Source organism: Homo sapiens, chromosome 14 (genome assembly GCF_000001405.40).
Source record: "Homo sapiens chromosome 14, GRCh38.p14 Primary Assembly".
Classification (NCBI taxonomy): domain Eukaryota; kingdom Metazoa; phylum Chordata; class Mammalia; order Primates; family Hominidae; genus Homo; species Homo sapiens.
The window spans coordinates 63,297,295-63,312,834 of NC_000014.9; the positions used below are offsets into that span (position 1 = coordinate 63,297,295).

Consider the following 15,540-nt stretch of genomic DNA (forward strand, 5'->3'; position numbering starts at 1 on the left):
GGCCTCCCAAAATGCTGGGATTACAGGCGTGAGCCACTGCACCCAGCCTATTCTATGCATTTTTTAACATTACAATTTATTTTGTGCCATGTTCTGACTTTTAAGTCATTAAATCGTCTTTTTTCTGTTCATATTTCTGGGAAATCTGAGGGTGTCTCCATCTGCCATTCCAGAAAATTGCCTTCTCCAGGCCTTTGTTAGAACAAGAAATTGTCCAGCCCCTTGTGACTCAAGATGTGGCCTGGGAACCAGCAGCGTCAGCATTACCTGGGAGCTACCAAGGACTGTGGAATTTCAGGCCCAGCCCAGACCTACTGAATCAGAATCTGCATTTTTAACAGGACCCCCAAGTGATTTGTATACACAGTGAAATAGGGGAAGTACTGGTCTCGGAGACAACCAAGTTCATCATCAGTCTTTATATCCAAACACATAGCTGCCTAATGAAGAACCATCAACTTAGCCTGTCTCTCAGATGCTACCTTTTGAGTGTTCCTTAGGCTAATATTTGAGTTGCTCACATTTACTGGATGAATAAAAGGGCTGTCAGAAGTCTTTTCTTTTTCTTGTCATGTGCTGCCCAGCTGCAGGAAAGGAATATGCATATTTTAGAATCAAAAGCAGAAAAGCAGCATCTGGTTTGCTAGATCTGCTAGATCTAAAGTACTTCTGTTCTGAAAGTCTTTTTCATGTTTATTAGGGTGAGAAAAAAGTGCTCCCCCAAAATTATTTTCCACGAAGACATAAGAAAGATTCAGGGTACATGAAGTTTTATAAACTCACAAAGTAAAGATAAAACAAATTTCTGAGGCATGAAACTTTTGATAGAGTTTCTGTCTTCATTGCTTAAAACACGGAACTCTAGATGACAGAATAAGGGTTGATTACAAACAACCTGTCCTCTAAACAGGACACAGATTCATGCCAGAGACTCATGTTGTTATTGCCTTAAGCACAGACCAGAGTTTTATTAACTTTCTAGACATATTTTTACTAAACATCACTGGGGACCATGCTTTGTTCTCCCTGCCCACACCCCACCCTGTGTACAAGAGCCCTTTAAAAATTGTACACAACCACATACAGCAGCCTATCCACTTATTCAAATCCTATTGTTGCTGATGAAGTCCTGAAGGCAAATCACACCTACCTTCAAACGAATCAAAAAAGAGCACAAGGACCACCTGTGCTCTTGTACCTGCAAATGGCCTAGCTAATTTTTTCATTAGGATGTCAGTGATTCGGTCCCACAATAAGGACCTGATAGCACTGTGCAGGTGCAGTCATTAAAGGCCCACCCCTTCTAGGAAGCACCAACCACCTCCCTCTTCCTGCAGCAGGCTTCACTTTCCACTTGCAGACACACGTCTGACGTTAGGACATTCAATCAGGTGTTCCTCATGCTCCAAGCAACTGGAACCCACCTGTGTTCCAAGATTACCTTTCAACTGAAAAGCTTTTAAAGGCCAGGCACAGTGGCTCACGCCTGTAATCCCAGCACTTTGAGAGGCCAAGGTGGGTAGATCACCTGAGGTGAGGAGTTCCAGACCAGCCTGGCCAACACAGCGAAACCCCATCTCTACTAAAATACAAAAATTAGCTGGGCATGGTGGCATGTGCCTGTAGTCCCAGCTACTTGGGAGGCTGAGACAGGACAGTGCTTGAACCCAGGAGGCAAGGGTTGCAGTGAGCCGAGATCGCACCACTGCACTCCAGCCTGGACGACAGAGTGAGACTCCATCTCAAAAAAAAAAAAAACACGCTTTTAAACTGGGACAGCTGTCACCTCTGGGAGCCACTCAGCTAGCCAAAGCAGCTAACATTCTTGGGTTTCAGCAAATCCCAAAACAGAATCTTACCAAAGATTATTTCTTTTTTTTTTTTTTTGGATGGAGTTTCACTCTTATCGCCCAGGCTGGAGTTCAATGGCGTTATCTCGGCTCACGGCAACCTCCATCTCCTGGGCTCAAGCGATTCTCCTGTCTCAGCCTCCCAAGTAGCTAGGATTACAGGCATGTATCACCACGCCCAGCTAATTTTGTCTTTTTTTAGTAGAGATGAGGTTTCTCCATGTTGGTCAGGCTGGTCTCGAACTCCTGACCTCAGGTGACCTGCCTGCCTCGGCTTCCCAAAGTACTGGGATTACAGATGTAAGCCACCGTGCCCAGCAGATTATTTCTCTTTATTGCAAATGTATCCCTGATTTCTTCCTTGTAACCACTGATGCAAGCAGCCAAAAGGGCTTCTACCACAAGGGCCTGCCTATCTTCCTACAGCCTGCCACAGCATGGCACCCCGCCCCAGCTACTTCCTTTCCCAGGCCACAAAGGAAAGTCTATTTTATCCTCTTCAAAAAAAATGAATGGGAGAAAACTGGTATCAACAATCCATTTGCCTCCAAGAATCCATTTACTTGTAATCTTAAAAATGTTTAATTCCCAGTGCCTTTTCTGTAGTGGTAAAATAAATTCCCCATCCAGGATAACTAAAGCCCTCTCTTCATTTGAATAAAAACATTTCTACTGAATTAGGCACATTGAAATGATCACATCCTGAAGGAGAGAACCCTCCCTGCCCTGCCCTTGCTCAGAACCCACACATTCTCCTTGCCTTGTCTGCAGCGTAGAGGTTGGCATGGGTAAATTTATGGTACATTAGTTCCTTTCGGCTTTGTCCTGAAGTTGGCTCAGATTTTGTTAATGCTGAAATTTGCAGCTGAATTCAGTTGGACTTTGCTTCTCATTAATGAGTTGACATTGCAGTGGGGAGATGTTTCAGCATTTGCTCCTTGAGCTTGCTCAAGCAGGAGCCAAAAGCTGAACAAGATCTTCCTCTTAAAAACATGTCCAACATATTTTAAAATGCTGGATAGTTTAATTCCACTCAGTAAAACTGGTCCCCCAAAATATTTTAATTTTGATATGCAGATTCCAAGAAGAAATGGAAGATGGGAGGTTCAAAACAGTCTGGAAGCTTAGATCGTCTGACTTTGACGGCTCACTCCTCCATGTTGGGTCACCTGAAGAAATTTTTTTTTTTTTAAACAGAGTCTCACCCTGTTGCCCAGGCTGGAGTGCAATGGTGTGATCTCAGTTCACTGCAACCTCTGCCTCCGACGTTCAAGCGATTCTCCTGCCTCACCCTCCCAAGTAGCTGGGACTACAGGCATGTGCCACCACAGCCGGCTAATTTTTGTATTTTTGGTAGAGACAGGGTTTCACCATGTTGGCCAGGCTGATCTTGAACTCCTGATCTCAAGTGATCTGCCTGCCTCGGCCTCCCAAAGTGCTGGGATCACAAGCATGAGCCACCGTGCCAAGCCATCACCTGAATAATCTTTACGTGAGCAACACAGTAAAACCAAGAAAGCATGATCTGTTCATGCATTTCATGTAGAAAGAACTTGCAAACTAACAGGATAAAATTTTTATTTTAAGTGCATAATTCTGTATGTATATACTTCCTCGAGATAATAACTATTAATAGTTCATCAATATCCCTTATTGTGTATGTGTACAGTTTATTTTCAGTGAATAAATGCTCTTTCAAACAATTTTAACTCACATTTGCAACTTGGAGATAGTCACATTTATTCCTTGCTTGTAATTCTTTGAAATTACCAAAAGAAAACTACTATTCTTAGTATTATTGATATTCTTTATTAAAATAAAATGTTTTTTGTCTTTTAGCGAATGTCTGTTTGTTTGGTGTTGTCAGGGGCGTGGATAAGGAGGTGTTTGTATTTTTGGCTTTGCATGACTTTCCAAAGCCCCAGTGGCTCACAATCAAGGTCAAAGCATATAACTAACTGTTCTTGTGTATCAGGAAGCCTTTATTAAAAAAACTCAATTATTTAGTATGCTAAAGAAATTGTACAGCCAGAGGAACTTAGGGTCAAATATAAATCCAAAGAGCTTGGAAAGGTTTACTTTATTTCTGATAATGAGGACCTGGAAAAGAGAATAGAATAATCCCTCTACATTTCTTAACATTGGAGACAAATCCCTGCCTTACATTGCCAATTACAGTGCTTTACACCTGCTCCCCTTATTTTCTCATCCTTCCCTAGTTCTTGTCCCAGATATCACCTGCTCAGAAAGCTTCAGTACCCTCTTCAGACACTCTAGGATCACAACCACAAGCCTCTAAGCCTACTAGACTTCCCTGTATACAATTCCAGACAATCCCATTCATTAAACCAACGGATTGCCTGAGCCTTGAGCCTGGGAAGTCAAGGCTGCATTGAGCCAAGATCGTGCTACTGCACCCCAGCCTTGGTGACAGAGAGAAACACTGTTTCAAAATTAAAAAGCTCCCACTGAAAAATAAAATTCCAGGAAATTCCCCTTTTTACCATTTATTAGCTACAAAGTAACACACTTCTGATTCTAACAGACCCTCTGAATGAAGCGGACTGCTCCTGCAGGACCCAGGAGACCCCCCCAAAACTGTGAGTGCCCCAACTGTGGAAGGGGGAAAGGGAAACCCTCCTCTCCTGAACACACACCTGCACTGGAGAAGATGAAGGTCTGTTTGCTGGAAAAGTTTCCAACTTTACCAGAAGCTGAGTCAATTTGGAAAGCCAAGGGAAATACAGGGGTACAGGAAGAAGCAGAAAGGCCCTGGGAGCTCGCTGGGTCCCCAAGCAGCCCATTCCTGCATGGCACCACAGGGATCCATCAGGAGGGTGGCCAGAGGAGCAGGGGGTAAAACTCCACAGGAAGAAGGAATTGTCTAGCTGAACTTTGTAACAGTTTGGACTCTGTGAGAAGCCTCCTGGCCAGAACTCAGGGGAAGACGCAAATCCGGTGTCCAGACTCCACAGGCCGGGGAAGAACCAAGCCCTTTTCTTTGGAAGCTGGGAGGCAGATAGCCTGGGGCAGGTTTTCAAGCCCAGATTCCCCTCTGCCTGGAAACGGTCTGGGGGGCTGTTGGGTGGGAGGGCACGGTGGGAGTGAGACAGATTGTTTGGTTTGCGTGGGAGCTGCATGAGGCCTGTGACGGCTGACTTTCCCCCACTTCCCTGACAACCGGCAAGACACAGCAGAGGCAGCCATAATCCTCCTGGGTACACAACTCCAGTGGCCTGGGAATCTCACCCCCATCCCCCACAGCAGCAGCAGCAGCAAGACCTGACCAAGAGTCTGAGCTCAGACATGCCTAGCCCTGCCCCCACCTGATGGTCCTTCCCTACCCACCCTGGTAGCAGACGATAAAGGGCATATAATCTTGGGAGTTCTAGGGCCCTGCCCCCCACCAGTCATCCCCATAATACTATAGCTGATGCTCTCTGGAAAGTACCACCTCCTGGCAGGAGGCCGACCAGCACAAAAATAGAACATTAAACCACCAAAGCTAAGAACCTTCATGGAGGCGAGATTTCCTTGAGAGGTGATTCTAGTTAGCTATTGGGGGTGGTGGGGAGAGAGAGAGAGAGAGAGAGAGAGAAAATTTATTCCAGGCAGAAAACACCACATATAGACAAGTAGAAGAAAGAAATTCAGAGCTCAAAGACAAGGTGTTCGAATTAACCCAATCCAACAAAGACAAAGAAAAAAGAATAAGAAAATATGAACAAAGCCTCCAAGATGGCTGGGATTATGTTAAACAACCAAACCTAAGAATAATTGGTATTCCTGAAGAAGAAGGTAATTCTAAAAGCTTGGAAAACATACTTGTGGGAATAATCGATGCAAACTTCCCTGGTCATGCTAGAGACCTAGACATCCAAATACAAGAAGCACAAAGAACATCCAGGAAATTCATAACAAAAAGATCTTCACCTGTAATTCCAGCACTTTGGGAGGCCGAGGCAGGCAGATCATGAGGTCAGGAGATCGAGACCATCCTGGCTAACACAGTGAAACTCCATCTCTAATAAAAATACAAAAGAAAATTAGCCAGGTGTGGTGGCGGGCACCTGTAGTCCCAGCTACTTGGGAGGCTGAGACAGGAGAATGGTGTGAACCCGGGAGGCAGAGCTTGCAGTGAGCCGAGATTGCGCCACTGCACTGCAGCCTGGGCGACAGAGCAAGACTCCATTTCAAAAAAAAAAAAAAAAAAAATCTTCACCTAGGTACATTGCCATCAGGTTATCCAAAGTTAAGACGAAGGAAAAAAATGTTAAGAGCTGTGACACAGAAGCACCTATCAGATTAACAGCAGATTTCTCAGCAGAAACCCTACAAGCTAGAAGAGATTGGGGCCCTATCTTCAGCCTCCTCAAACAAAACAATTATCAGCCAAGGATTTTGTATCCAGCGAAACTAAGCATCATATATGAAGCAAAGATACAGTCATTTTCAGACAAATAAATGCTGAGAGAATTCGCCATTACCAAGCCACCACTACAAGAATTGCTATGCTAAAAGGAGCTCTAAATCTTGAAACAAATCCTGGAAACACATCAAAGCAGAACCTCTTTAAAGCATAAACCACACAAGACCTGTAAAGCAAAAATACAAGTTAAAAAGCAAAAACAAAACAAAAAAAAAAAACAAAGTAGACAGGCAACAAAGAGCATGATGAATGCAACAGTACCTCACATTTCAATACTAACATCGAATGTAAATGGCCTAAATGCTCCATTTAAAAGATATGGAACCACAGAATGGATAAGAACTCACCAACCATCTACTGCCTTCAGGAGACTCACCTAGCACATAAGGACTCACATAAACTTAAAGTAAAGGGGAGGAAAAAGGCATTTCATGAAAATGGACACCAAAAGTGAGCAGGAGTAGCAATTCTTATATCAGAAAAACAAACTTTAAAGCCACAGCAGTTAAAAGAGACAAAGAGGGACATTATATAATGGTAAAAGGCCTTGTCCAACAGGAAAATATCACAATTCTAAACATATATGCACCTAACACTGGAGCTCCCAAATTTATAAGACAATTACTAATGAACTTAAGAAATGAGATAGACAGCAACACAATAATAGTGGGGACTTCAGTACTCTACTAACAGCACTAGACAGGTCATCAAGACAGAAAGTTAACAAAGAAACAATAGATTTAAACTATACCTTGGAACAAATGGACTTCACAGATATATACAGAACATTACCATCCAATAACCACAGAATACGCATTCTATTCAACAGTGCATGGAACTTTCTCCAAGATCGACCATATGATAGGCCATAAAACAAGCCTCAATAAATTTAAGAAAATTGAAATTATATCAAGCACTCTCCCAGACCACAGTGGAATAAAACTGGAAATCAACTCCAAAAGGAAGCTTCAAAACCATGAAAATACATGGAAATTAAATAACCTTCTCCTGAATGAGCGTTGGGTCAAAAACGAAATCAACATTGAAATTTAAAAATTCTTCAAACTGAACGACAATAATGACACAACCTATCAAAACCTCTGGGATACAGCAAAGGCAGTGCTAAGAGGAAAGTTCATAGCCCTAAACGCCTTCATCACAAAGACTGAAACAGCACAAACTGACATTCTAAGGTCACACCTCAAGGAACTAGAGAAACAAGAACAAACCAAACTCAAACCCCGCAGAAGAAAGGAAATAACCAAGGCCAGAGCAGAACTAAATGAAATTGAAACAAAAATAAATACAAAAGATAAATGAAACAAAAAGCAGGTTCTTTGAAAAGATAAATAAAATTGATAGACCATTAGCAAGATTAACCAAGAAGGAAGAGAAAAAATCCAAATAACCTCACTAAGAAACAAAACAGGAGATATTACAACTGACACCACTGAAATACAAAAGATCATTCAAGGCTACTATGAACACCTTTACTCACATAAACTAGAAAACCTAGAAGAGATGGATAAATTCCTGGAAAAATACAACCCTCCTAGGTAAATCACCAAAGAATTAGATACCCTGAACAGACCAACAACAAGCAGCAAGACTGAAATAAATGGTAATCTAAAAATTACCAACAAAAAAAGTACAGGACCAAATGGATTCACAGCAGAATTCTACCAGACATTCAAAAAATTGGTACCAATCCTTTTGACGGTATTCCACAAGATAGAGAAAGAAGGAACCCTCCATAATTCATTCAATGAAGCCAACATCACCCTAATACCAAAACCAAGAAAGGACCTAACCAAAAAACTAAACTACAGACCGATATCCTTGATGAATGTAGATGCTAAGATCCTTAACAAAATACTTGCTAACTGAATCCAACAAAAAGATTATCAAAAAGGTAATCCACAATGATCAAGTGGGTTTCATACGAGGGATGGTTTAATATACACAAGTCAATAAATGTGATACACCACATAAACAGAATTAAAAACAAAAATCACATGATCATCTCAATAGATGCAGAAAAAGCATTCAGCAAAATTCAGAATCACTTTACGATTAAAACTCTCAGCAAAATCAGCATAAAAGGGACATGCCTTAATGTAATAAAAGCCATCTATGACAAACTCACAGCCAACATAATACTGAATGGGGAAAAGTTGAAAGCATTCCCTCTGAGAACTGGAAAAAGACAAGGACGCCCACTCTCACCACTCCTCTTCAACACAGCACTGGAAGTCCTAGCCAGAGCAATCAGACAAGAGAAAAAATAAAGGGCATCCAAATCGGTAAAGAGGAAGTCAAACTGTCACTGTTTGCTGACGATATGATTGTTTACCTTGAAAACCCTAAGTCCTCCTCCAGAAAGTTCCTAGAACTGATAAAAAAAATTCAGCAAAGTTTCCAGATACAAGATTAATGTACACTAGTCAGTAGCTCTTCTATACACCAACAGCGACCAAGTGGAGAATCAAATAAAAAACTCAACCCCTTTTACAATAGCTGCAAAAGAAAGAAAAAAAAAAGGAAACTTAGGAATATACCTAACAAAGGATTCGAAAGACCTCTACAAGGAAAACTACAAAACACTGCTGAAAGAAATCATAGATGACACAAAAAAATGGAAACACATCCCATGCTCATGGATGGGTAGACTCAATAGTGTGAAAATGACCATACTGCCAAAAGCAATCTACAAATTCAATGCAATCCCCATCAAAATACCACCATCACTCTTCACAGAATTAGAAAAAACCATTCTAAAATTCATATGGAACCAAAACAGAGCCCGCATAGCCAAAGCAAGACTAAGCAAAAAGAACAAATCTGGAGGTGTCTGATCTCAACTATCTCACCTAGGTACATTGTCATCAGGTTATCCAAAGTTAAGACGGAGGAAAAAAATCTTAAGAGCTGTGAGACAGAAGCAACTATCTGATCTCAAACTCTACTGTAAGGCCATAGTCACCAAAACAGCGTGGTACTGGTGCAAAAATAGGCACAAAGACCAAGAGGACAGAATAGAGAACCCAGAAATAAACCCAAATACTTACAGCCAACTGACCTTCAACAAAGCAAACAAAAACATAAAGTGGAGAAAGGACACCCTTTTCAACAAATGGTGCTGGGATAATTGGCTAGTCAAATGTAGGAGAATGAGACTGGATCCTCATCTCACACAAAAATCAACTCAAGATGGATTAAGGACTTAAACCTAAGACCTGAAACTATAAAAATTCTACAAGATAACACTGGAAAATCCCATCTAGACATTGGTTTAGGCAAGGATTTCATGACCAAGAACCCAAAAGCAAATGCAATAAAAACAAAGATAAATAGCTGGGACCTAATTAAACTAAAGTGCTTTTCCACAGCAAAAGGAACAGTCAGCAGATTAGGCAGACAACCCACAGAATAGGAGAAAATCTTCACAATCTATACATCTGACAAAGGACTAATCCAGAATCTACAGCGAACTCAAACAAATTAGTAAGAAAAAACAAACAATCCCATCAAAAAGTGGACTAAGGACATGAATAGACAATTCTCAAAAGAAGATATACAATATACAAATGGCCAACAAACATATGAAAAAATGCACAACATGACTAATGATCAGGGAAATGCAAATCAAAACCACAATGTGATACCATCTCACTCCTGCAAGAATGGCCATAATCAAAAAATCAAAAAAACAGTAGATATTGGTGTGGATACAGTGAACAGGGAACACTTCTACACTGCTGGTGGGAATGTAAACTAGTACAGCCTCTATGGAAAACAGTGTGGAGATTATTTAAAGATCTAAAAGTACAACTACCATTGGATCCAGCAATCCTACTGCTGGGTATTTACCCAGAGGAAAAGAAGTCATTATTCAAAAAAGATACTTGCACACGCATTTTTATGGTGGCCCAATTCACAATTGCAAAATCGTGGAACTAACCCAAATGCTCATCAACCAAACAGTGGATAAAGAAGCTGTGATATATATATATATACATATACATATATATATATATACCACATATGTATATATATATGTATATGTATATATGTATATATACATATATATATATACAATGGAATATTACACAGCCATAAAAAGAAATGAATTAACAGCATTTGCAGTGACCTAGATGAGATTGGAGACTATTATTCTAAGTGAAGTAACTCACGAATGGAAAACCAAACATTGTATGTTCTCACTGAAATGTGGGAGCTAAGCTATGAGGATGCAAAAGCAAAAGAATGATGCAATAGACTTTGGGGTCTTTGGGGGAAGAGTGGGAGGGGAGTGAGGGATAGAAGACTACCAATAGGGTGCAGTGTATACTGCTCAGGTGATAGGTGCACCAAAATCTCACAAATCACCACTAAAGAACTTACTCATGTAACCAAATACCACCTGTACCCCAACAACGTATGTTAAAAATAAAAAATAAACACATTTCCAAGAGTAAGGAGTTGCTGAGAGTTAGTTTATGCACCAGAGTCAATTCCCCTGCACCACTCCTCACATGCCTAGGAAACAAGTTTAGAACATACATCCCTCAGTTCCGCAACAGTCTCTTTGAATTTCCCTTCAAGGCTCTGCTTTTTCTCCCTCAGTCTCCTCCATGGTAAGCTTTCATTTAAGCTACAGCAAAACATTATCTTCCTAGAGGTTATACAGCAAACCAGAGAAAACTTCCACTCTCCATAAAACAGCCCAACCTTGCACGGAGCCACCTCCAGGAAAGATGGCAGAAATGCTAATCAATGGTAAGAGATAGTCTGACGATAAACTTAAAGACTTCTCCAAGCAGGAATAACTTGTAAGAAGCATTCCAAAAAGGCACTGTGCTCTAGTGGAAAACGTTTGGTTCTGATTCAAAGAAACCTAGCATGTGCTACTTATTAGCTCTGTGAACTTGGGCAAGTTATTTGACCTCTCTGAGCTTCTATTTCATCATCTGTAAAATGCTAATGGTAAAATGACAATGACAATGCTTACTAGCATAGTTAATACAATAACTAAGAAGTATTAATATAAAGGATTCTGCTTATAGTAAGAGATTCATAAATAGTAACAATACATATTTTTTTATTTTCCAAACACAGTACCTTGCACAAAATTTAAGTTAATAAATATTTGTGGAAAGAAGGAAGGGAGAAAGAAAAAGGGAGACGAAAAAGATTCCAGTTTAGCACAGTATAAATCCTGATAGAGGCTTTCCTCTTTTTCACTAATAAATTCTCTGATTATAACATAGATCTATTGAGGAAATTGTTTGAATACCATGGACTATTAGCACACAGATCCCGCAGATCAGAGCCCTCTGGTGGCCATTGCAGCTTTGCTACCTGTTAGAACAATTTTGCCCACCTTGTCTCTCACAGCTGCATGTCGCCACCTGGTCCCTGTTGTCCTAGATCCCTGTCTCCTACGCTGACACCAGAAGCCCAGTGCCACAGCAGCTTCCCCTGGCATCAACCTCAGCCTAGAAAGGACAGTGACGATCAAGCTTTTCTGAGACGCACCCCTCACTAGTCATTCTTTGTTGGTTTGTAAAAGAAATGGCCACTAAACCCTCCAGATGAACACAGCCAACTGGCGAGTTCTCTGGTCTTATGTAATAAATCCATTCTGGCAGGCCCACCTCTCTGTGCCTTTTGTTCCTCAGTACTCTGCCAGGACAGTTCTGGTATCTTCTTTTCATTAATGCAAGCCACCATTTTCCTCACTCTTGAAGGACACTTCCCAACAGCACACTGGGACCAGATCCAGGTGTCCTTTTGATTACATTACATTCTGATAATGCCTGCATATGGATGAAATCTTCTTATCCAGTCTTATATTCTGGCACCCCACCCCCCATATCCCTGTCTGAACCCCCCGAGATCCATTGCTAAGCACACTCCACCAATTCCTCCTGGAAACTGTCAAATCCTGAAGCTCCTTCAGGGGAGACACTTGTTCCTCCCACCACAGAGCAAGTCCTTTCCCAGCCAGATCATCCTGAGACTTGACTATAATGAACCATCTAGAATAATACGGGATTGTGGGCAGTATTTGAGGAAGGCAAGTATCATCATGTAAAGCATCCTCCTCAGCTTGGTCTCCAGGCAAGGGGAGTCTGCTCTCCACTAGCAAGGAGGGGCCAGGAGGTTCCTCTGCAGGGAAACCTCAAGTCCATCATCCACCTAACTGTTCCCATTCCAGGTCTCTATGTCTCACTTTTTCCCTATTAGGACCTGGACTTAAGTATAGGAGACTTGCCAGAGTGGTAAATTCAGCCCTTTTATTAATTCAGCTGCTTTCTCAATTAGATATTAGGCCTAATTTTCAGCACAGTCTGTCCTTCAGCTGCATTCGAAGACAATCTCTTCAAATCAGCTTTCATATCATGCCTGAGGGCTTTTATTGCACTTAACGACCAACTAATCCCACTGTCCTTATAATTACCATGGTCTTCAATATCTCCCAAATGTTACTGTATTAGCCAGTGCATGCCTTCCCATGTGTATTCCAGATCAATTCACTACAAGGCAGTCAGTACGTGAACTGCACATTTTGGTCAATGGCAGACGGCACATATGATGGTGGTCCCATAAGATTATGTTTTTTCTGTACTTGTTCTATGTTTAGATACACAAATACTTGTATTTTTTGTTTTACAGTTGCCTACAGCATTCAGTATAGTAATCTGCTGTACAGATTCGTAGCCTAGCAGCGATAAGCTATACTACATAGCTTAGCTATGTAGTAGGCTATACTGTCTAGGTTTGTGTAATTACACTATGATGTTCTCACAATGACAAAATTACCTAATGATGCATTTCTCATAACGTACCCTCGTTAAGTGACCCATGACTGTAATTGTGATGCTACAGCATGCTACGTCCTGCATTAAAGCTGAGCTTCCCAAAAGACAGCTAAGCCAGAGTTTATTCATTTGGCCCCTTAAATCCACTCTCTACCTTTCTTCAACTTGCTGCCTAGAAGGCCAACATTTATGGACTGAATCAATGGGTTTTCTCACTCTCTGCTTTCCCATTTGATTCCCACGTGTTTTTGTTTTTTTTTTTAAGAGATGGGGTCTTGCTCTGTCATTCAGGCTGGCGTGCAGTGGCACAATCACAGCTCACTTGCAGCCTTGACCTCCCAGTCTCAAGGGATCCTCCCACCTCAGCGCCCTGAGTAGTTGGGACTACAGCTGCGCACCACCACACCCAGCTAATTTTTTTTATTTTTTGAAGAGACAGGGTCTCACCGTGTTGCCCAGGCTAGTCTCACACGCCTGGCCTCAAGTAATTCTTCCACCTCGGCTTCCCAAAGTGCTGGGATTACAGGCATAAGCCACCACGCCCAGCTTGATTCCCATTTCATTCAACAGAAGACCAGGGGATGGGAGGAGAGTGAGGATGGGTATCTGCTCCCCCACCTCCCTCCCTACCAGGTCTCAGTTTGGGAAGGGCTGCATCCTCCTACCAAAGGCTGCAGCTCCTGTCAAGGATCTCACTCCTACAGTTCTCTCTGGGGTCTGACAATCACTCCCTCCTCTTGTTCCTTCAGCCTAGGGTTGTCCATTGCCGCTGAACCAGATCTGTTTCAACCCCACTTGTTGGTTTCCTTAATTCTGCCCACACATTTGTAAATCGTCTCTTCTGTATCCCACTACAATAGATCACCGGTTTCCTGCCAGGACCTTTATTCATGCTACGGTCATCTTTTCTCAAATCCTGGCAAGCCCTTTGTGCCTCAGAAAATTCTGAGGAGAGTCTTTAGGGGTGGGTTGAAAACACTTGAGTGGCACCACTCAGGATTCATCCCTAATCATCACCCACTGTTCCAGCAGAGACCCCAAGTACTTGCCTTCTTCTTATGCTAGAGTGACTTCCATTCCTACCAACACATCTGCTAAAGGTTGGGTGGATTTTGCTCCTGCCCTTTGTTCCCAGATGTTCACCCCGCAACCCAGTACTTGACTGTCAATCTCAACATTTGCTTTACTGTGTTTTAGGGGGACTCCTTGAGTTCTTATTCAAGAAGGACTCCTGGCTCCCAGGGGTATGTCTGGGCAGTTTGTGCCACCGTTGGGACTCATGCTACCCAGAGTCATCTGTCTGTGTCCCTTACTAAACATGACATGCCACATAAATGCTTAAGTAAAAATAACCTTGTAGTGTATTTGAGGTGTGCTTCTCACTGTTACTCCAAGTATACTAAGAATTAAAAAGACTTTCTTGAATGTTGTCATGAATCCAAAAGACAGAGGACATGCTTTATTGGCATTAATATAGGTTTTCTTGGCACATTATGAAAAAGGAACAAGGTTAAATTCAACCCCAAAAATGCCAGAATTAAAGACATTTGCATAACATTAGAGTTTTGGAGGTTTTTTCCAGCCACAGAATTAGCTACTGTAAGATTTTAGAGAGGCAGGAGCTAGAAAATCACAGGCTTTTTCCTCTGAGCCAGCCATGCAGTTTTACCCCTAAACGCATATAAAATTTCTGAGTTTAGTAAGTTACAACTTAAATTGAAAATATGATAAATGGGGAAGAATACTTGTGATTGGCCATTTTGCCATAGCTTTGGGAGAACATCATACTCTAAAACATGAGTTTAGTTTAATAAGTTTTTAAGGCTAAATGAGATAGCTATTAGTTACATATTTTATTTCTGTTTTTTTTTCTTTTAATCCCAACGTAGCCTCTTTATTAAGACTCTTAAGGGAGCTAGCGAATTTTGCTAGGGAAAAGAATTATCCAAATCCAAACATCTTTTCATTGAAGCTACTCTCTTTGTATATCTGAGCAGTCTTATTTCTTGTGTAGATAATTGCTCAGTTAAAAGGGGAAGGGAGCATTTTCCCTAAAGAAGCTTGCAGCTGGAATTCCTCTGGGGTAAGGAAGACTAGTACATGGGTTTTGTTCATTTCTAGCCCTTTAATCATAAATCCGGTTGGAGATCAGAGGTTAAATAGAACATGAGAATTTAAAGACTTTCCAGCCCCATATCCTAATTACATCCCATGTGTTTAAATCATTAGCATATTATAAGTCCAAATTGGGGGAGGATTGTGATACACAAATTATGTTCCAAGACTCAAGGCAAAGAAAAATTAATTTGCAGGTATGTGAGCTGGAGAAATTATTTTGGTGAAGGCACGAATATTGTTTTGAACTTTTAGCATAAGTAGGCTGCATTTGGGCCTTTTGCCTGAGCTGGACCTAAGGGGCGACAGGTAACCTCCTCCA

General features: G+C 41.5%; 2 annotated features.

The window, feature by feature from the left end:
* Positions 961-1,462: an enhancer, noted in NCBI's record as "H3K27ac hESC enhancer chr14:63764973-63765474 (GRCh37/hg19 assembly coordinates)". NCBI's record gives its function as "activates a minimal SCP1, AML or CMV promoter by ChIP-STARR-seq in primed H9 embryonic stem cells {active_cell/tissue: H9 hESC(primed)}" and the evidence as "EXISTENCE:reporter gene assay evidence [ECO:0000049][PMID:30033119]".
* Positions 1,463-1,962: an enhancer, noted in NCBI's record as "H3K27ac hESC enhancer chr14:63765475-63765974 (GRCh37/hg19 assembly coordinates)". NCBI's record gives its function as "activates a minimal SCP1, AML or CMV promoter by ChIP-STARR-seq in primed H9 embryonic stem cells {active_cell/tissue: H9 hESC(primed)}" and the evidence as "EXISTENCE:reporter gene assay evidence [ECO:0000049][PMID:30033119]".